General features: G+C 36.2%; 1 long non-coding RNA gene across 5 annotated transcripts in view; it reads left to right on the top strand.

The window, feature by feature from the left end:
• The window catches only part of LINC02663 (long intergenic non-protein coding RNA 2663), a 434814-nt gene that overhangs the window by 193050 nt on the left and 218754 nt on the right, over positions 1-23010 (top strand). For all 5 annotated transcript variants that reach the window (XR_930643.2, XR_930644.2, XR_930645.3 and 2 more), the window contains one exon: positions 519-566. This is a non-coding gene — a long non-coding RNA (long intergenic non-protein coding RNA 2663). The remainder of the gene's footprint in view (positions 1-518; positions 567-23010) is intronic.

Raw genomic sequence — 23010 nt, 5'->3', positions numbered from 1 at the left:
CACAGTGATATACATATCATGTTATATAATTGCTTTTTAAATCAGTTAAGAGAAGAAAGGGTAAGAAATATGTAGCTAACAGTGTTTTAAATTACCTACACAATTACTGTTGCCAGCACTCTCTGTATGTGTGTGTATGTCTGTGTATGTGTGCATGTATGTGTGTATAAATATATATTTATTTAACATTTAAATATTTAACATATTTATAATAGCTGCTCAAAGGCAAATTACTTTCTAGGATCACTTGTTCAGCCTGAAGAACTTCATTTAGTATTTATTATAAAGTTAGTTTGATAGCAATGAAATCTCTGTTATTTTTTCACTTTTTAATGAGAATTTGCTATATGAGATTCTGGGCTGAGGTGACAATTCTTCCCCACTCTACTCCTTCTTCCTAAAGCCCTTTAAAGATATCATCCCACTGCATTTTGTCCTTCATAGTTTCTTATAAGAAATTGACCAATCTTACTGGGATTGACTTTTTCATAAGTCATTTTTCTCCTGCTCTTTTTCAGATTTTCTTATCATTGGCCTTCAACATTTTTATCAGGATATATCTGTGTGTGAGTATCTTTGGATTTATTCTGCTTACAGTTAATTAGTTGAGTTTCTTAAGTCAATAAATAAATAATGCATAATTAATATACAAATTTATTTTAATAATTTTAAAATTAATTAATATTTAATTATTTTAATAAATAATTTGTATATTAATTTTCTTATCCGTTATGTATTTGAATAATTTTTGTTCTACTTTCTCTCACTTCTGTACTTCTGGTATTCCCATTACATGTATATGCACTTAGTGGTGTCTCATACTTCTCTGAGGTTCTATATATTTCCCTTTTTTTAAAAAGAAAACTATCTCTTTATTAATATTCTTTATTTGAGGAGACATTGTCATTATATCTTCTTTACTTCTTTAAATGTGGCTTATTTAGTTCTTTTAACATATTTATAATAGCTGCTCAAAGGCCGTTCCTATTGCTTATCATTCTTTATTTCACTGTGTAAGTTACACTTTTTCATTTCATTGCATGTTTCATAATTTTTGTTGAAAATTGGATATTTCAGATAATATCTTCTCTCAGAATGACATCTGTGCCTTACAAGCAGGGTGCTGTAGCCTCTGGGCTTCATGGCTCACCATTCATGACGTGGGGCCTCCATTCTTTAAGTAAGCTGAGGCAAGGGTAATTGTGGTCCAGCGTTCTCTGCTTTCCACTCCTGGGGTAGAGCTTCACCTTATGAGTGTAGGCTGAGAGAAGAAAGGGAGCCATTCTTTCCTGGAATACAGCTTCTGTAAGATGGAGCTGGAGTTAGTGTGAGGAGGTGAGAAATGCTGCCTCATAAACGGTGCTTAGCTGCTCCCTAGGCACTGCTTAAGAATCACCAAATGCCTTCAGGGAAGAATTAGCCTGGGATGTTGGGCATCCATCAAAGAGTCTCCTTTCTTTTCAGAACCTTGCACACTCACAATGTGAATCCTTGGTAAATTTCTAAGGAATATATATTTGTGTGTGTGTGTGAGTGAATGTGAGTGTCAGAGTGTGTGTGTGTGTGTTTATTTTATATAACTTAACCATTTGATTTTAGTAAGAGGTTAGCTAAAAGATAAAAAAATCTGAAGTTTAGAACAACCTGATAAGGAGCATTTCATTATTTCTTTACATATTTTCTAGTTACTTTTAATTTTCTTATTTGAATCATACAAAGACATGAGAATTACTCTCCTATCTCTCTCTCCCAATAAGTCATTAAAATTAAACCTATAGGTTACACAGAACAGTAAATCTTTCTAGGAAGGTGGATCATCAGTGTGAGCTTGTTACACTGATTTTCATTTCCCCTTGTCACTTTTTTAAAACCTGGAGTTTGTATTTCTTTCTGTAAATTTAGCTATGTTTTAATGTTATGCATACTTCAGAGGATATTTACAATATCTAGTCCACCATGTTGCCATATAGGGAAGTATTAACTCACTCTACAGGGAGCAGCCAATGTATCTTTCCATGAGGGAAACCACAGGCTTAAAATCCCTTTAACGTCCTTCCAGTGATTGTAGGATTAAGATAAAGTTTCTAAACAGGGACAGCCAGGCCCTGCATGCATATTTCTATTTCTGCTGTGGCTTTATTTAGTACTGTGTTTTATGTGACAGTTTATTCTCCAGGAATTACTGCCTTCCATTACAATTTTCAGTGATGTCAAAGGGCTTTTCTACATGCTACTGTCTTTGAATGCTCTTCCATCTTTCCGTCATGTATTAGGCTGTTCTCATGCTGCTGATAAAGACATACCCAAGACTGTGTAATTTATAAAGGAAAGAGGTTTAATGGACTCACAGTTCCACATGGCTGGGGAGGCTTCACAATCATGGCAGAAGGCAAGGAGGAGCAAGTCATATCTTACATGGATGGTGGCAGGCAAAGAGAGAGAACTTGCGCAGGGGAACACCTCTTTTTACAACCATCAGATCTTGTGAGGCTTATTCACTCTCATGAGAAGAGCATGGGAAAGTCCCGCCTCCATGATTCAATTACCTCCCACTGGGTCCCTCCCTTGACATGTGCGAATTGTGGGAGGTACAATTAAAGATGAGATTTGGGTAGGGACACAGTCAAACCATACCATTCTGCCCCAGTCCCTCCCAAATCTGATGTCATCACATTTCAAAACCAATCATGCCTTCCCAACAGTCCCCCAAAGTCTTAACTAATTTCCACATTAGCTCAAAAGTCCACAGTCCAAAGTTTCATCTGAGACAAGGCAAGTCATGTCCACCTATGAGCCTGTAAAATCAAAATCAAGCTAGTTACTACCTAGATACAATGGAAGTACAGGCATTGGATAAATATACCCTTTTCAAATAGGGGAAATTGGCCAAAATGAAGGGGCTGAAGGTCCTATGAGAGTCTGAAATCCAGTGGGACAGTCAAATCTCAAAGCTCCAAAGTGATATTCTTTGACTCCATGTTTCATATCCAGGTCACACTGATGCAAGAGATGGGCTCCTATGGCCTTGGGCATCTCTACCCCTGTGGTTTTGAAGGGTATAGCCTCCCTCCCAGCTGCTTTCACAGGCTGGCATTGAATGTCTGCAGCTTTTCTAGGTGCACAGTGGAAGCAGTTGGTGGATCTACCATTCTGGGGTTTGGAAGATGGAGGCCCTCTTCTCATAGCTCCACTAGGTGGTGCCCTAGTAGGGACTCTGTGCCGGGGCTCCAACTCCACATTTCCTTTCAGTACTGCCCTAGCAGAGGTTCTCCATGAGGACCCCACCCCTACAGCAAACTTCTGCCTGAGCATCTAGGCATTTCCATACATTCTCTGAAATCTAGGCAGAGGTTCCCAAACCTCAGTTCTTGACTTCTGTGCACCCGCAGTCTCAACACTATGTGGAAGTTGCCAAGGCTTGGGGCTCACACCCTCTGAAGCAACAGCCTGAGCTATACCTTAGCTCTTTTTAGCTGTGGCTGAAGTGGCTGGGATGCAGGCCACCAAGTCCCCAGGCTGTACGGAGCAGGGGGGCCCTAGGCCCAGCCTGTGAAACCATTTATTTCTCCTAGGCCTCCTGGCCTGTGATGGGAGGGGCTGCTGTGAAGCCCTGTGACATGCCCTGGAGACATTTTCTCCTTTGTCTTGGTGATTAACAGTTGGCTCCTCCTTATGCAAATTTCTGCAGTCAGCTTGAATTCTTCTCGGAAAATAGGTGTGTGTTTTGTTTTTTTTTTCTATCACATCATCAGGCTGCAAATTTCTGAACTTTTATTTTCTGTTTCCCTTTTAAAACTGAATGCTTTTAACAGCACCCAAATCATTTTTGAATGCTTTTTTGCTTAGAAATTTCTTCTACCAGATACCCTAAATCATTTCCCTCAAGTTCAAAGTTCCACAGGTTTCTAGGGCAGGGGAAAATGCCACCAGTCTCTTTCTAAAACACAGCAACAGTCACCTTTACTTCAGTTACCAACAAGTTGCTCATCTCTATCTGAGACCACCTCAGCCTGGATTTCATTGTCCATATCATTATCAACATTTTGGTCAAAGCCATTCAACAAGTCTCTAGGAAGTTCCAAACTTTCCCACATTTTCTTATATTCTCCTGAGCTGTCCAAACTGGTCCAGCCTTTGCCTGTTACCCAGTTCCAAAGTCACCTCCACATTTTTGGGTATCTTTACAGCAGCAGTAAATTGGTACCCACTCTACCAGTACCAATTTACTGTATTAGTCTGTTCTCATGCCACTAATAAAGACATACCCAAGACCAGGTAATTTATAAAGGAAAGAGGATTAATGGACTCACACTTCCACATGGCTGGGCAGGCCTCACAATCATGATGGAAGGCAAGGAGGAGCAAGTCATGTCGTACATGGATGGCGGCAGGCAAAGAGAGAGAACTTGTGCAGGGGAACTCCTCTTTATAAAACCATCAGAGATCTTGAGACTTATTCACTATCACAAGACCAGCATGGGAAAGATCCATGATTCAATTACCTCCCACCAGATCCCTTCCATTACACATGGGAATTGTGGGAGCTACAGTTCAAGATGAGAATTGGGTGGTGACACTGCAAAACATATCTTGTCACTTAGTTAATTTTCATTTTCCTTCAGATCTCAGTTCCAGCTTCCTTTTCTCAAGACTTACTTTCTCTCTTCCTGAGTTAATCATTATCTCTTCTCTCACCAAGCTACTGTTTATACACAGTCATAATTACATATTGAAATTTCATATGTGTGTGCAATTATTTGATTTATATCTCCTTATGTAGATTGTAAATTCTCTGAATTCAGATAATGTATCATTTTATAAATGTGTGTTAACCCCGACACTCTAAACACTTAATACATGTGTATATATTGAATATATTGAAGTAAACATAAATATTAATATAATCACAATAAATATAAAAGGGGCCACTTTTGAATAGTAAATATCGGATTTTTAGTTTTTCTTGTTATGAAGAATTTCCATTGTAAAAGAGGTCCAGAAATGAATCTTGGGCTAGCCTGGTCTCTGAAGTTAGGAATTTAAGTTTCCCTAGTCAAAGAAACATGCTGACCTGTTCTTCCTTCTACCTCTTTTATTCTTTATCTGTGGGATTATATTTCCACATGAGTGTGCCATTTTAGCAGAACCTCCATCCTCCCAAAACTCCAGGAGTGGATGTGAATGTATGGTGCCCTGCAGTCTTTGGTGATGGTTATTGTGTATGGCGGCTGCTCAAAGGCAATGGTAGCTTATTCTTAGCAAGAGGGCAGAAAAAGCAAGGTGTTCCTGCAAACTCTGGTCTTACCCATGGAGGAAGAATATGTGTTCAGGATCCACAGCCTATCAAATAACCCAAGCCCCACCAAACAGGCCAGGCAAAGCCTTCACAAAAAGAAATTTCTGCATTTTGTTCGAGCAATAAAATTGTTCACCAGGAAATGCAGAAAACAGTTTAGTGAAGAAACCAGTAATCAGAGAAGAGTGATGGAATATCACTTGTATCAGTTGTATGACTGAAAATGGGAAAATATATAGAAGTAGGTACCTAGTTATATCTGCAGTTCTTCCTGCAAATAACAGAATATATCCATAGGAAACTACCATCGAGATGAAGAAAATGGTTAAAACAAAAGGGAATCAAGTTGAGATTGCTGAAGAAACTTTGATGGAACAGGACTTCATGATAGTAACACAGAGACAAGTGTGGTGTTACAACAGGGCTTTTCCAGGGCAGAAGAAAGAACCCTATCTGTATCAGAAATTGAGTATACAAAAGTGATGTTGTAAGAAGAGAGACCCGGTACTCATGAATGGAGGGCTGAAGGTCAGTAGCCTCAGCCACAGGTTAGCATGGAGGCACCATGACCCAGTTCATTCTACTATTATGAGTGGCTCTATCTTAAACCCTATGAGGTTGTCAATAGGATTTTGGGGTCTTAATTTAATGGACAGGAAAAATCTTTTGTTTTTTTCCTCATTTTCCTTCACCCAGTTAAATCCTACTTTCTTTCAGATCTTAGTTCAAGCTTCACCCTCTCAAGAATGTCTTTCCCGACTTCCTGAATTAGTCTCATTTCCTCCTCTTCCATGTCTTCATTAACTCATTCAATACATTATTAGTTTTGGGTTTTTGTTTTCTTCTGTTGAGTATGTATGTGTTGGGGGATGGGGAGGATACCTACTGCAACACAGATCCTAATCCAGAAGCTGGTGACATAGAAGTGAATGACATGTCTTTTTCTTGGAGACTTCTAAGTCTAGAGTATCTATCTGCTACTGATTGCACAGACAGAAGAGTTTTGTGTGCTATGATATGTGTGCAGCAGTTGAGGCTCTGTTTGGGGAGACAAAAGGCAGCAAAATGAGCTTGAGAAATGTTACTAGAAGCAGCATTTGCACAATTTTGAAACTTGGTGAAATAACCTACAGTCTTCGAGGTTTTGTCATACTGGAAAAGCAAAGGGTAATAGGAAACCCACTGGGTCTGCGGATCTGTTGAGTTGCACTTACTATTGAGTTGTGTTTAGTCTATAACCAGGCACTAAAAAGCAGAATTCTGCTTAACAAAGTGAAAAATTATCTACGTGTCAGTAACAGTTTCATTTGGGACATTTTTAACCCACAATATCTGAAGAAATGAAATGAATAAATTAGAAGCAACAAGAATCTATATGAGTAGTGCTTTTTCAAAAGCACAATTGGAGAGATTGTTCCAATATAAATGTAGAATTCTTGCTAATTCTTGGGCTACCCTGGTGAATTTGCATTAGGCAGAACACTCTCCATCGCATAGCAGCAAGAGAGGAAAGACCTGATTCAAACACAAGGAGCCCTTCTTGTTCTGGAACAGGTCCTTCATCAGGACGAACCAGGTTGGATCCTAACAGAGGCCTTTTTGCCAGAGCCTGGGTTTTCATAATGTGAGTGATTCTTTCTCCTTGTAATTACTGATAATGTTGCTGGGTGAACTGAAGCCACTTTGAATAGGGAATTAGATGTGACATCTCTCTGCTGCAGAACATGTAAAGACAGCAGCCTTGCTATTTACATCACACAGACTTCAAATGCAATTTTTGGATCAGTGCTCCCTGTTCTCATTTTCACGTTTATCCATTCTCTCCTCATTTGCCTTGTGCGATATACTTTGCACATTTTCATGTCATCTGCACTCTTTGGAATTATTATTCAAAATCAATACTATATATACAATGACTCCAACTAAACTTTCCTTTGAAGTATTCATCATTTGCCAATTGTGAATAATGAAATAACTACTTTTTTTACGCATTGCTTACCATAACCTCAGGAATGACTTAATCCATTAAAAATGCACAGTTGCTTGATATTTAACCTAAATGTATTGACGCTAGGATAGAAAAACATCACTGCTTTGCCATAGATCTGTCCACAAGTTCAGAGTTTTGTGGCTACAGGAACTGGCAGGTCAATCATGGGGACCAATTCAGTGACACGTATACCGTGGGAATTATTCCCTGTGGCAGGCCATTTGTGAGTTTTCAAATATTTTTTTCAGAACCTTTCCTTGGAATCAGAAACAAATTTGATATATACTTTTTTTTTTTTTTTTTTGAGACGGAGTCTCGCTCTGTCTCCCAGGCTGAAGTGCAGTGATGCAATCTCAGCTCAATGCAAGCTCTGCCTCCCGGGTTCACACCAGTCTCCTGCCTCAGCCTCCCGAGTAGCTGACACTACAGGCACCCACCACCACGCCCGGCTAATTTTTTGTATTTTTAGTAGAGACGGGGTTTCACCGTGTTAGCCAGGATGGTCTCGATCTCCTGACCTCGTGATCCGCCCGCCTTGGCCTCCCAAAGTGCAGGGATTACAGGTGTGAGCCACCGTGCCCAGCCTGATATATACTTTTTAAATTATTTAAAATATTTTTAAAAGCGTTTATTCTGAAAAGTTCTAAGTATGCCTTATAAAGGTAGCCATTTCACATCTTCTGTAGTGAACTTTTTTCTTACTTTGTCATCAGTTGTCTACTCCTTGAGACCAGTAGGCTCTTTTCTTGACTTCTTTTGGTCTATTATTTCTATATTTAAGGACGTGGTCCAGTTTTTGCAGTCTAGCTAAACTGAAGAGTTCAAGAGTTACTTTGGATTAACCATTTGAGTTTTAAAAGCTTACCTGACCCTTCCTTTTAAAGTTTCTTGAAAATTTCTTTTAGTGAATTGGAAAAGTAAATTGCTGTTCTCTCATTACCCAGAGCTTTGTACTGAACAAAATTGTACTTAATTCTAACCTTGGATTACCTGAAGTTTGAGTGGGTTCAAATCTCAGTATATATTCCCTTTCAAACCAAATTGCTACCAAGAACACTGACACCTCCAGATGCTGTTAGGTTTTCTAAAATCACCCTGAAACTCTTTATCATGTGCACTGTAGAAAGAAAAGCAACAGAATATCCTACTGAGCTGAGATTGAGGTAAAGAAGGGGAACAGCTGTTAGAGCCTTTTTCCTGTTTCCTTAGAATTAATGTAGGGATGTGTCCTATAGTAAAATATCAAGAGCTTTGTTCAAAATAGTTTTAATAAATTTCAACAGGAAAATGAAAGGAGAATAATCCTTGCACATAGGGGCCACTTTAAAAAATCCTTTTAAAAGTAAGGAGAATTATGTTTTACTTTCTCTGATTGGTTTGTGCAGAAGAAATCTAGAAGTCCTCATATCTCTGTCTGAGTTTTAATTCCCATTTCTTAGATTTGAATGAAAATAATATCAAACAAAAAAATTAGTCTGTGAGGCTGTAAAGCAAATCCTGAAAATTGCACTCTTGAAGAGATAACTGAGTTACGTAATTTTTTTTATTTAAACAAAACACAATAAAAACTCCTCTGCAAGGGCAACTATAATGCAATGAAATGAGATATTGAAATTACCACAAGAGAAAAATAATGGAAAAAGTTATTTCCTTTGCTTACTGTTATATAAAAAAGTCACCCTTAGCTATAATCCTGTTGAAATATTTCATATAAAATATCAGCTTGCCTTGAAGAGTAGGCTAAGAAATTTTACTGGGTTTATGCAATATAAGGTTTCCTTTTTTGAGGTGCATTTCAAGCTGAGATAAAGAGAAATGTTCAGGTTAAAATGGCCGACTGAAGCCGTGTCATAGAACCTCTTTTCCACAATGACGAATGAAAAACATGATAAATCACAATAACAACAATAACAAACAAGAAAAATACAAAAAGCCAATTAAATCAACCAACCAATTAAGAAACAAACAAAACAAGGAAAGAAATGGAATATTCTGGTAAGAATTGATTGTGAACCATTTTTATATTTCCTGGGAAAAATTTTGAAGAAATAAAAGTATTTCCAAATTTGGAACAACTTAAACTGTCTCGGCATCCTTTCTTTTTCTTTTTTCAACTGAGTAGTAAGGGAATGAGTATTGGGAATAAGGTTGGGATAAATGAAGAAAAGAAAAATAAAGCAGGAATTCTGTCACACAACGGATTTCAGGGCTGCCCAACACATTTCGAATGAAACAGAAACTTGGAAGATATCCCTCCATGAAATCATATATGCCCTCCAATTATGTAAAGTGAATCTTGGTAAAGAAAATTTGACTATTTACCAAGTAAGAACAGAAGCAAATATTCCAACAACAGCAACAAAAATTATACCACTTTAGCAATTATATGGGCCTTCTCCTAAGAGCTGTGTAGATAAAACACAAATAATTACCGTTAAGCTGTCGCTCAGAGAGGAAAACAAGCAAGTCTCAGATAGAGTTGTAAATATTAACATTTAAAATGTCACAGTATTGTATCAGAGCAAATAGAAGTTTTGGAAAGAAATCCCCAAGCATGAGCAAGATGAAAATAAATTATGTTTTTGTATAAATAAAGTACAGGGAAGAATTCAGTAAGAAATAAAAACAGAGAGAGAAGGAGAAAAGGAAGGAAGAAGAGAAAGAAAGAAAAGGGGAGGGAGGGAAGGAGGAGATATATAATAGACAAAGGGCCCTACCTAAGGGAAAACATAACTCAATGAACAGGAAGAAATTTTCTGTATTTGTTTTATTCCCTACTTTAGCATCTTACTAAAAATTAATTCAATAACAAAATTTCAAAAAATAAAATGGATATATGATATAAAAAGAGAAATTACTGATCTAATGATGTAGATAAAGAACCAAAATAATTTCTCTGGAGAACAATGTTAAATTGTTCTCATTAATAGTTTTTGCTTAAAATGATAGGAAAAAATGCTGAGAAAATGTAAAGGGAAAGGATAAATATATTAATGAAATCTAAAGCTATTCGGTATTGAAAATAATTAGGGATTATTGGTGTCTTTCAGGTAGAGAAGCCAATAAATGACAATAAATGCTGTTCAAAGTAGAATATGAGAACATAATTTTTCTGAAGTAAAGATTCTACATTTGCTGCTTAAAATGGCATATTACAGAAAAAAAAATCAGGCATTAAGCTATTTACAAGAGGGCAAATGTCCCTCAAACCTCAGACCTCTTCACAGCAGCTTTTTCAGCTAGAAGACAATATGGCAAAGTTTTCAGGGATCCAAAAATATTTTTAAATATATATTCAAAGTACATTATACCAGTGCATACCAGTCACAATATTGTATCAGAGAAACTAGAAGTTTTGGAAAGAAATTCCATTTATAAAGGAGCCCATTTTGAGCTTCTCAAGTTATTCTGTTTTGATTTCACAATCTATCATTTCATTATTTTCTTTACAATATATTTTTTCTATATCAGGCCTGCAACATTAAACTATGCCTGATATACTTGAGAATACAAAGAATTGCTCAAGTTTGGAAGACATTTGAGGATGATAAGATTGCATTCAGTCAATAAACTAACAAGCCAAAAAAGACAAATATTTAGGCCAAATAAGAATGCCAGTGAGTGGACTTGCTTCCTTTGCCTCCTTAGGCCCTTAAAGTTCTGAATAGACTTGGTAATCATTGTAGCCTCCATGGAGCAAGGATGCCACTGGGTTAGAGGAACTAGAAGCTTGATCTAGTTACCTTACATACCATTAGACTGGAGGTGGGTTGAGGTGGAGAAGCTACATCACTACTTGACATACAGCCTGATAAGGACATTTTTATCCTACAGACTAAGTTTTCTTCCTATTTTGTACTGTCTCATCACACTTGCATTTGAACTGACTATGGCTTGTTCCAATATGTATTAACCACATTACATGGTCAAATTGCTAAAATATCCTTTTCATTTTTGAGACACACTGTTAGTATATGGATGATAAATTAATTATCTTTTATACTTTCTTTTTATTGTTTTCTCTAGTTTGGGTAACAACTACAGAAAGAGATACTGGCTGTTAGATTCCATAAATGATAGACTAAATTTGAATGTTATTTATTTATTCTTAGTGTTCATCTGTGACTTAAGATTTACTCCTAAGTACATCTGACCTTACATCTGTCCTGACTCTAGAGTATTTCTGTAGCAAAACAAAATTAAGAGTCCATCAACTGAGCTTCTGAGAAGGGAGATACTGATACTTATGTCTCAGTAGTGCACACAAGTAGAGAAGTTGAGATGAAAAAATCCAGGATGGGATGAGTTCTTGTACCATTGGTGCATGTTAATGATATTTCAAAGTCAGATGCACCACACAAGGATTCTTAGCATCATTCAGCGATGTAGAATTTTAATTTATGATGCATTTTTCTGTTAATTAGGTGTACAGCAACATTTTTATCCAGTCATCCATCCATCCACCTGCCCATTCATCCATTTATTCAACCAATATCTATTCAAATTCTCCTATATGTCATGTCCAGTGTTTGATGAGTAACTATCAGAAAATACAATAAACAAAATCATTGGCATCATTTAGCAACATTTTGAATATTTAGTTACACTCTGTGTAAGCATATTCCATGCTTCAGTAAAGTGTATCAGGTTTTAACCTAGATCTTATGTCATACCATTTACTGCGATCCCTCCATATTCTCAGATCCGTGTGTCTCACTCTGTGATTTTCTGTGTTTCCAGCTCATTCTCTCTGGTCCCAAAATTGTAAAGTTTTCTTCACTGGGACCTTCATTCTATTGATCCTTCCAGCTTTCACTGTCCTTCACTTTGTAGAAGGGAAAGATGAGTTTTCTCTCGCTTTAAACAGCTTAGATTCCATAGTTAACCGTTATAATTACTTCCTTCATTTCAATGACTTCTGCATCCTTCTCTAACTTCATTGCACTAACCTAGAAAAATCAAAGCCTTTGTTAAATCTAACTTTGCCTACTCCACACCTGCTACCATTTAGCTGAAAATGACTAGAGCAAAATGCACACACACACACACATGCACACAAAACCATGTGTGTTTGAAATTCACAACACATACCTTCATGAGTTCTTAAGGCTACCTGGAAATAATTTTAAATTTCCTTAATAGTTTCACATCTTGCTCTATTCCAGACCTCCATTGCATCCTCCCAACAGCTCACTTTTAGATAGTAACTTAATTTCTTATTTCAAGGAGAAAATACAACAAATGGAGAAAAACTTCCATAGACCCATGGACTTCCACTGGCACATACACTCACTTCCAGCATTCGTTTTCTCTGCCTTTTGGCATTTCGTCGTAGACGAATTTTTCATCATCTCTCTGAAACTAGTCGCTCAGTTTGTAACTACACCCCATCCCATCAATCATTCCCTATAGTATAAAAATATGCTTTTATGTCTCTCAGTTTTTAAAAGCCCTCTCTTGGATCCACCAACTCTGTTCCATTTTTTATCCTTTTGCAGAAAAGCTTGAAAATGTCTGCACAATTGCTCTCCAATTTTTTTCCCCTCTCATTCTCTCTTAAACTAACAACTACAGTCAGGATTTTGCCCTCGTCAGTCACTGGGGCTGTTGACTTCTCTCTTGCTGATGGCAATGCACAATGCTCAGTCCTTTCAGCAGAACAGGACACAGTGAACCACTCACCTTTTGAAGAACAGTCTTCACTTGGATTCCAAAAGCCTGCTATTCATTTTGTCTTTCTCCCATCTCCCTGGTTGTTCCCACTGCCTCTTCTTGGCTGGCATCTTTGCTTATCTGTGACCACCTTAATATTGAAGGTTCCCATTCCGTGGTCTTCTTCTCATCTCTTCTCTAACAATCTCTTCTGATATTTTCTATTATTGCCGTAATATTTTGAAAAATATTCCTGGAGCAATGGAAGTCAACACAAGGATTTATAAATGATTTTGATTCAATTTTGAATTATTGATATCCTTCTATCAAGTCAAATTGAAAACTATTTTCTTGAGGAAGGTTTTGATAAATGAGACACTTCACTAATAACGAGATGCCCAAAGGTCATAACATAAAAGCATTTAGAAAGAAAATAAATAAGTCTTCAAGGCAGAATTAAATGTCACATAATTTGAAGATTTTCAAGTAAATCAGTCAGTCATCTGTTGAAGAATATGGGCCGAAGTTTGATTACTTTATTGAGAAAGAGTTATCTATCCACTCTTCTCTGACATAAGCATACATAACATCTAGTAAATTACTGCATTTCATGAGAGGTCACCTAATGATGTGTATGACAATTAGAAAAGCTTGGATTATTTTGCATGTAATAATACAATATTTCTGAATTTTTTTGTTGGTCCCCTGATAATTTTAAATGTATGTATCTGTTAAAATTCAATTTTTTCCCCTTGAGGAAGCAGTTTAAAACTTTAGTAACTTTATCAGGGAGAATTTTGTTTGTGTGACAGTTGCTTTAACAATGGGCTTTCTTCTCAGGAGGGAAAATATCAATGTCATGTGGTGTGTCAGTTGCTATGGTAACTATACCTTATTCCTTTTTTTAATAACACTTTGAACTGGCTCTTAAACCTGAGCAAAACTCTGCCCTGCTGAGGAGTAAACTGCTGCGTCACCAGAGCTCAGCTCTCAAACCCTACTCCCCCGCCCAGCCTCCCCCACCACTAGATGCTTATTTGACGCTTATTCACAGATACTCTTATTCACTCCACTTGGTTAGCTGTGGAATGCAATAGGAATTAGATTCATAAGAGATTGCTAATTAAATATGAAGAAAAGGCCAAATTTTCCAGTTTACCTCTGTTAATGCAGAAAATGGGTAGACTTTATTTCTCATTAACCTATCAGATTTCTTGACTTAATGTATTAACTCCACCTCTACTCTTCCTACAGAACTCTGGTTTGAAATGTCTTGACCACAGTTCTCTACCTCAGTCTTTGTAATGGACATTTGAATACAAATGAAGATCAAAATAGATTTGAGTGCATTTTAATGTCTTTGTAATTGAAATGAAGTTTGGACTACCAAATCTCTAATGTGAAAGCAACTAAAGTATACTTTGACCCATGTCATACAATAGCGTAGAGAAATCTGATATCCTCTCCATTGTTCCTTTTATAGCTGCTTGTGAAATAAATCATAAAGTGCTTAACAACAGTTTATCCTACAATCATGATATTTGTTTTTTTAATTTATTATTATTATTATTATTTTTTGAGACCATGTTTCACTCTGTCACCCAGGGTGGAGTGCAGTGGCGTGATCTCAGCTCACTGCAACTTCTGCCTCCCAGGTTTCAAGGATTCTCCTGCTTCAACCTCCTGAGTAGCTGGGATTACAGGTGTGCACCACCACACCCATCTAATTTTTGTATTTTTAGTAGAGATGGAGTTTTACCATTTTGTCCAGGCTAGTCTTGAACTCCTGACCTCAAGTGATCTGCTCACTTTGGCCTCCCAAAATGCTGGAATTACAGGCATGAGCCACCGTACCCAGCCTATAATCATTATCTTTAATTAATAAAGTTTATTTTATTGCGATGAATGCACTTGTCAGTATTATAATAGTTTTTATTTTAAAATTACTGTCGGCCAGGCACGGTGGCCCATGCCTGTAATCCCAGCACTCTGGGAGGCCAAGGAGGGTGGATCACCTGAGGTCAGGAGTTCAAGACCAGCCCATGCAACATGGTGAAACCTGATCACTACTAAAAATACAAAAATTAGCTGGGCATGGTGACACATGTCTGTAATCCCAGGAGGCTGAGGCAGGAGAATCTCTTGAGCCTGGGAGGTGGAGGTTGTAGTGAGCCAAGAGTGTGTCATTGCACTCCAGCCTGAGCAACAGAGCAAGACTCCGTCTCAAAAAAAAAGAAAATTACTATCAAGGACACAGAAAGATCTAAATGCAACATAGCTTATTAATATAAAGATCTGAATTTGTGTTCATACATCCTTCAAAACATAGACCTCAAAATATATACAAAATTAAATTTTTAATTGGTCATAAGTGTTAAGTACTATTTTTATAAGAGGATAAAATGGATGATATTGATATTATGTTCTTACATGTATACTATCATTTTACTTGTATTATATTAAACACTATTATTGTAGTCTCACGTAGGTCTCGAAAATATTATCTTCAAATATGTGTAGGGAATCAGTAAAATATAGCCTTCCGAAATCTTTATTACACATGTGTATTTTATATATTTTATATATAAGTATAAATATATAGCTATGTGTGTGTTTTATAAGGTATATTATATATGTGTGTATATATTATGCACAGTATGAAACATGCCCAGAAATATAGAATCCAAATATTGTGATTAATGTTTACAAAGGCAAACCAAGATCTATTTTATTGAGAATAAAGTCCTCATCACATTCTCCTATCCCCAGAATGAATCAGAGAATATGAACTAACACAATGACTAGAGTCCTGACAGGCAGTCTGAAGATTTAGGATGCAGTTGAGAGCTTAGTTTGCTAAAGAAAGACCCTGCATTTTCTTTCAGGCCAATCATAAAGGTAAAATGAATCTTATTCCCTGTAGCATACTACCTCACCTCTTCCCATTCCTGCTATAGGACCCCTAGGGCACATGGCCTACAGGACTTGTGGTTTCTTGAGTATATACACAGTGTGACTCTTCTCACATAGCCAATACTAAATTTTAAAGAGTAACACAGGGTGGAAAAGGATAAATAGTCCCTTCTGTAGTGTAATACCTAGTATATTAGTCAAGGATAGCCAGAGAAACAGCAGCAATAGGATAATATAAGGAGATTTATTCTAAGAGATTGGCTTGTGTGATTATGGAAGTTGATAAGACCTAAGATCTTCAGGGTAAGTCAGCAACCTGGAGACCTAGAGGAACCAGTGGTATAGTTCCAATCCAAAGCCTGCAGGCTTGAGACCCAGGAAGATCCAACGTCTCATTCTAAAGGCCATCAGAAAAGAAGAATCCCCTCTTTGGGGATGTCAGCCTTTATGTTTTACTCAGATGTTCTGCTTAATGGGTGAGACTCACCTACATTAGAGGGAGCAATCTGCTTTACTCAGCCTGCCAATTTAAACATTACTGTCATCCGGACACCCTCATAAAAGCACCCAGAATAATCTGTGCCGAAATATCTGGGCAACTCATGGCCCAGTCATGTTGACTCATAAAATTAATCATCACACCTAGGTTATCTTCTGGTTCTGCCACTACCTAGGAATTAAACCTTGCCAATCACTTAACCTTTATGGACCTAAGTTTATTACCTAAAAATGAAGAGATTGAGTAACATAAATTATAAGATCCTTATTCATTCTAAAATATATTCTTATGCAGGTACAGCCATTTTAGCAATATTCATTTAACGTCCCATGGTCAAATACACAAGAGAATCCATAGTAGAAAATCTGCCAAAAATATTTATTATCATTATGTCAGAAACACCAATGCCTTGTTTTTCTATTAATCTTTAACTTCATTTCAATTTGTGCAATCTGAAGACTTTAAATAAATTATCACAAATAGGACCAAGGACACCTTTGGGATATTAGCAGGAAAATGAAGAAAAAAGTTCAGTAAAAATGAAACAATGCATTTATACTCAAATAAATCCAAACAGTTTTTGAGCTGTTACTTACCCCCTTCCCCTATCTCGCATACAATCTCGTTATCACGCCAGTGAAACTCTTAGGAATTGACACCTTTCTAAGATATTGAGACACAGAAGAACTTGCAAATAAGAGGTATCAATATAGTGAGAATAACCACGAAAAAAAGTCCTTGAGGTAGTATGTGAGATAATGGACAGGATGCACTCAATTCACATCTGCACAAGTACTGTGTCTGTAGATGTATGTATTTAAATGAGAGAGCAAGCAATCACATGAATCCCTGGGGATGTGTTGATAATTACACATTCAGATGCTCTTTGCTCTTAGCAGTAACTTAAGAATCATTTACAGTGGTTTCCAAATTCTTCGCTTTGCATTTCTCACCAGTAAATATTTCTAAGTATGCCCCCCGTGTACATGTTTATTTATTTTCAAGTCATATATAATAAAGTGAACACTCAGAATATAAAGAAAATGAAATTGAAATAAATCAGAATTGAAATTTTAACATTTTTTTCCACCCTCAAATGGAGCATCTCTCATTAATCTCTCAACTTTACATGCATCTATAATACACTGATATCTCATTGTGCCATTTTGAATAAAATTTATTCCTAAAGATTGGTGGGGAAGATAAAGGAGGAGCTGGTACAGCAGCCATTTAGAAATGAGAGAGGACTGATCACATTAAATTATCATAGGAATTTACTAAAGTTAGGATTTGGAATGTTATTTATCTAATCAGCATTCAAGTTTTCTCATTCTTAAAATGAGATTGTTATAATCTATTGTTCCCCTTTAGCTCTAAAATTTCAGTTCTCAACCACCAGTTTCTGGTGCAGCATGTAAAGAGCTTTGAATCATCACTCACATTCTCACAGCACCAAAAAGACCAATCAAATCCTGAAAATCAACAACTCTTCTTAGATCCATCAGGAAATTAAGATCCCATGGCAAACTACGGCCACTAAAAGTGGCAAGACAGGGAAATTCAAGAGCCACAGCTTAAAAGGAGCAGAAGCCAGCGGCTGAACTGACAGGAGTACTGTGACTGTAACTGACAAATTACCAGAGGCTGAGACTCGATGGGTTTGAGTTAAAACCTCCAAAGAAGAGGACAATCTTAGGAGTGTCTTTATGCTTTCCTGAGTTTTACCACCAAGAGCCCCACCAGATTCTCAGGGTGAAGACCAAATAAAAATCCTCTTTTATTTCAGGCAGTCAGAGGAGAAAAAACTATTTTGAAATATGCCTGGAACATTTTGTTCTCCTTAAGAAAGGACTGCCCTCAAAAGAAGCAATTATGCCAGAGCCTAGCTCATTTGGGTTTTACCAGAACCTGGCTTCTCTGAGGGAAGAAAAATACTATAGTTCCCCTTATTCACTGGGAATAGCTTCCAAGACCCCTACTACATGCCTAAAACCAGGGATAGTATCAAACCCTATATATACTATGTGTTTTCCTATCATACATACCTATGATAAAGTGTAATTTATAAATCAAGGACAGTAGAAGATTAATAATAATAACAAAATATAATTATAACAGTATACTCTAGTATAAGTTATGGAAATATGGTCTTTCTCTCTGTGTCTCAAAATATCTTATTGTACTCTACACAGCTGTTTTCTGACCTCAGTTGACCATGGGCAACTGAAACTGCAGAAAGAGAAACTGTAGATAAGGGGGAAACTGAGGTACCCGACTTCTGCTCACACTAGACTTCCTGCTTCACCTAAGAGAAGAAATACCTGAGAAGCACTTGTGAAGGTCACAGCCAGAAGGGCACAGCCACCCTGAATGACAGAGCTCTAATCATAGGATTACACAGCACTTCCCACTGCCCACACCTTCCCACCACATCAGCGGGGCTCCTGAATAATAACAAGGCTTTACAGAACTGCACGCCTCAGACACTACTTAAGAAGGAGCCTCTAAGAAAACCCAGAGATAACAGAGGAGACAAAACCAAGGATATTAGAAGAAATTTTATCCTCTGACATACAACTACAGCAAACAATAAGCAGCATATCAACCCTAGCCAGACAAACATAAAACCTCCAATGAAAGGCCTATTTTTCTCCTATTCTTTTACCTGATACATCATGTCTGGCTTTCAACAAGAAATTTAAAAACATGTGAAGAGGCAAAAACATAGTTTGAAAAATCAAAGTAATATCAGAACCAGACTCAGATATGGTAGTGGTTTCAGAATTATCGGAATGGTCATTTAAAATAGCTATAATTAATATGCTAAGGAGTCTAATGGAAAAACATTCAGGAACAGATGGGCAATTAAGCCAGGAGACAGAAACTCTAAGAATCAAAAGGAAATGCTAGACATCAAAAACACTATAACAAAAATAAAACATGCCTTTAATGGGCTCATCAGTAGATTCGGCAGGACCAAGGAAAGACTTAATGAGCTTATAGTTATGTCAACAGAAACTTCCCAAACTGAAATGCAAAGCTGTAAAAGAATAAAAAGTATGGAACACAATATCCAAGAACTGAGGGGCATCATAAAAGATGTAGTCTGCCTCTAATGGGAATATCAGAAGGAGAAACAAAATATTTAAAATAATAATGGCTGATAATTTGCTTAAATTAATGAGACACCAAACCACAGATCCAGGAAACTCAGACACTAAGCAGGATAAATACCAAAAAATCTACACCTAGATTTTTAAATACAGAAATTAAAATTGCTAATATCAGAATGAAAAAGAGACCATAACTACTGATTCCATATACATATTAAACTGCAAACTGCAGAAAATCAAAGGCAGAACAATCTTGAAAGACGTCGGAGGGAATAAAAACACAAAGGATAAGAATTGCAATAGACTTCTCTTAAGAAACCCTACAGAACCTTCCAAGAAGAAAATGTCATGAAATACTTAAAACACTCCAAGGAAAAAATCACCCACCTAACATTCTATATACAGCAAAATTATCCTTCTCAAGCAAAGGAGAGAAAAATGTTTTCTCAAACAAGAATTGAGTACACCTGCCTTGCAAGAAATATTAGGCGTTCTTCAGAAAGAAGGGAAATTATATAGGTCAAAAATTTGGATCTATACAAAGAAAGAGCATTAGAGAAGGAATAAAGGTAAAATAAAATCTCTACTTTTCTATTCTTAATTGATCTAACAGATACAATTTTTTTCAAAGTAATAACAATGTATTGGGTCATTATAGTTTGTGGATCAGTGAAATGAAGGACCATAATACAGTGAGGAGTAGGAGGAAATAATTGGGAATACTCTGTTAGGAGGCACTTGCACTACTCACAAAACAGTGTAGTGCTATTTGAAAGTGGATTTAGAGTAGTTGTAAATGTACATTGAAGACTTTAGGACAACCTCTAAAAAGTTTTTTAAAAGAAATATAACTGATATGCTAAGAGAAGAGAAAAAATTGAATAATAGGAAATTCTTATTTACAGCCACAGAAGGCAAAAAAAAGACTGGAAGACAAAAAAGGGAACACAGAACAAGGGCAGTGAGTAGAAAACGGTAACACATATGGTAAATATTGATCTAACTATATCAATAATAACTTTAAGTGCAAGCGGATTAGATGCATCAAATTAAGAGTCAAAGACTGAGTGGATTAACAAAAAAGAAAAAAGATTCAATTCTATGTTGTCTACAAAAAACCTACTTCAAATATGAAGATACAGGGAAATTAAGATATAGAAAGATATACCAGGCTAACACTTCTCAAAACAAAGCTAAAGTAGCTGTATTAATTTTAAACTAAACAAATTCAGAGCAAGAAAAATTATCAGGAACAAAAAGTTGCATTACATAATGACAAAGGTTGGTTTCCCAAGAATACATAGCAAGAATTAATTTGTGTATGCCTAACAAGAGTGCCAGAAGATGTAAGGCAAAAACTGATGCAATTACAAGATGGAGTAGACAATTCCACAGTTACAGTTGGAAACCTCAACAACTCTCTATGAATAAATAACATACCCAGCAGGCAGAAAGCCAGTAAGGATATGGTTGAACTGAATAGTACCATCAATCATTTGGATCTAATTGACATTTATGGAACATTTCTTTCAACAGCAGCACAAACCATTTTCTTCTCAATATCACATGGATCATTCACCAAGTTAGTCCACATTCTAAACCATAAAGCATATCTTAACAAATTTCAAAATAATTGAAATCATACCAAGTATTCTCACGGACCACACTGAATTAAAGTATTAACCAGTAACAGAGAGATAGTTGGTAAATTTTAAAATATATGGAGATTAAACAACATACTTCTAATAAGACATGAATCAAAAAATTCAATCAAAATTAAACGTATTTTGATTAAATAAATACAAAAATGCAAGTCATTAAAATTTGTATGATGCAGCAAAAACAGTGATTAGAGGGAAATTTGTAGCATTGAATGAATATTTTAGAAAATAAAAGAGACCTAAAATCAATAAAATAAGCTTCTAATTTAGGCAACTAGAAGAAGAAGAAAACAAATTTAATCAAAAGTAAGCAGAACAAAATGAATAAAAATTAGAGCAGAAATCAATAGCAGCGAAAACAGAAAATTAATAGAGAAATTGACGAAACCAAAAGCTAATTATTTGAAAAGACCAAAAAATTAATAAACTTCTAGTCAGCCTAACAAGAACAAAAGAGAAAATACAACTTGCTAACATCACAATCAAAAAGAGATGGTAAATATTGATTCCATAGATATTAAAATGATAGTAAGGGAATATTATGAATAACTTTGTACTCATAAATTTCATACCTTAGAAGAAACTGACCAATTTCCTGAAAGGAAATACCTACTAAAACTCACACAAGTAGAAGTAGATAAGTTGAATCGGCCTTTATCTATCAAAGAAACTGATGAATAATTAAATAGTCTTCCAACAAAGAAAACATCAGGGCCAGATGGCTTCCCTACTGAATTTTCCCGAATATATAAGAAAGAAAGAATACCAATGCTCAGTAATCTCCAAAAAAGAGAAACCAAAGAAAACTTTCTAACTTATTTGATGGTGATAGCACTACCTTAATAGCAAAATCAGAAAAAAAAATTACAAGGAAAAGAAGTGAAAGACCAGTATCTCTGACAGATATACCTGCAAAAATCTTCAACAAAATATTAGTGATTTTATCTAACAATTTATAAAAGGAATTAATTACCACAACCAAGTGTGATTTATCCAATGTATGCAAGGCTGGTTCAACATTCAAAACACAATTAAGTAACCCATCACATCAACAGGCTAAAACAAAAGAAGAAAAATGAAGTGATCATATTGATAGATACAAAAAAAATTGACAAAATGCAATGCCAATTTATAATAAAACCTTTCAGCAAACTTGGAATACAGAGGAACTTGCTCAACCTGATAAAGAACATCTACATAAACCTACAGCAAACAGCATACTGAATCGTGAGAAAGTAGATTTCCCCTTAAGATCAGGAGCAAGGAAATGATGTCTCCTGTCACCACGGTAATATAACTTCTTACTAGGCATCCTAGCTAATGCAATAGGACAAGAAAGGGAAATAAAATGTATGCAGATTGGGAAAGAAAGAATAAAACTTTATTCTCCAGTGACATGACATGATTTTCTATGTAGAATGTCTCAAAGACTCAACAAATAAAACTCCTGTAACTAATAAGCAAATATAGCGAGGTTGCAGGATACAAGGTTAACACACAAAAGTCAACTGATTTTCTATGTACTAGAGATGAATAGTTGGAATTTTAAAAATACAATCCACTTACATTATCTCTGGAAAAATATCAAAATACTTAGGTATGTATCTATAACAAAATACATACAAGTTGATGTGAAAAAAACTATAAAATTCTGATAAAAGAAATTTTTAAAGATATACAGACAGCAAATATGCTATGAAAAGATGTTCAAGATCGTATGTGATTATGGAATTGCACATTAAAACAATGAGATACCACTACACACCCACAGGAAAGGCTAAAATCCAAAATACTTAAAACACAAAATGCTGGCACCCATATAGAGCAACGGGAACTGCCATTTATTGCTGGTGGGAATGCAAAAGGGAACAGCCACTTTGGAAGCC

Source organism: Homo sapiens, chromosome 10 (assembly GCF_000001405.40).
Source record: "Homo sapiens chromosome 10, GRCh38.p14 Primary Assembly".
In the NCBI taxonomy this organism is placed as follows: Eukaryota; Metazoa; Chordata; class Mammalia; order Primates; family Hominidae; genus Homo; species Homo sapiens.
This window is presented reverse-complemented; position numbering and strand designations above follow the sequence as displayed.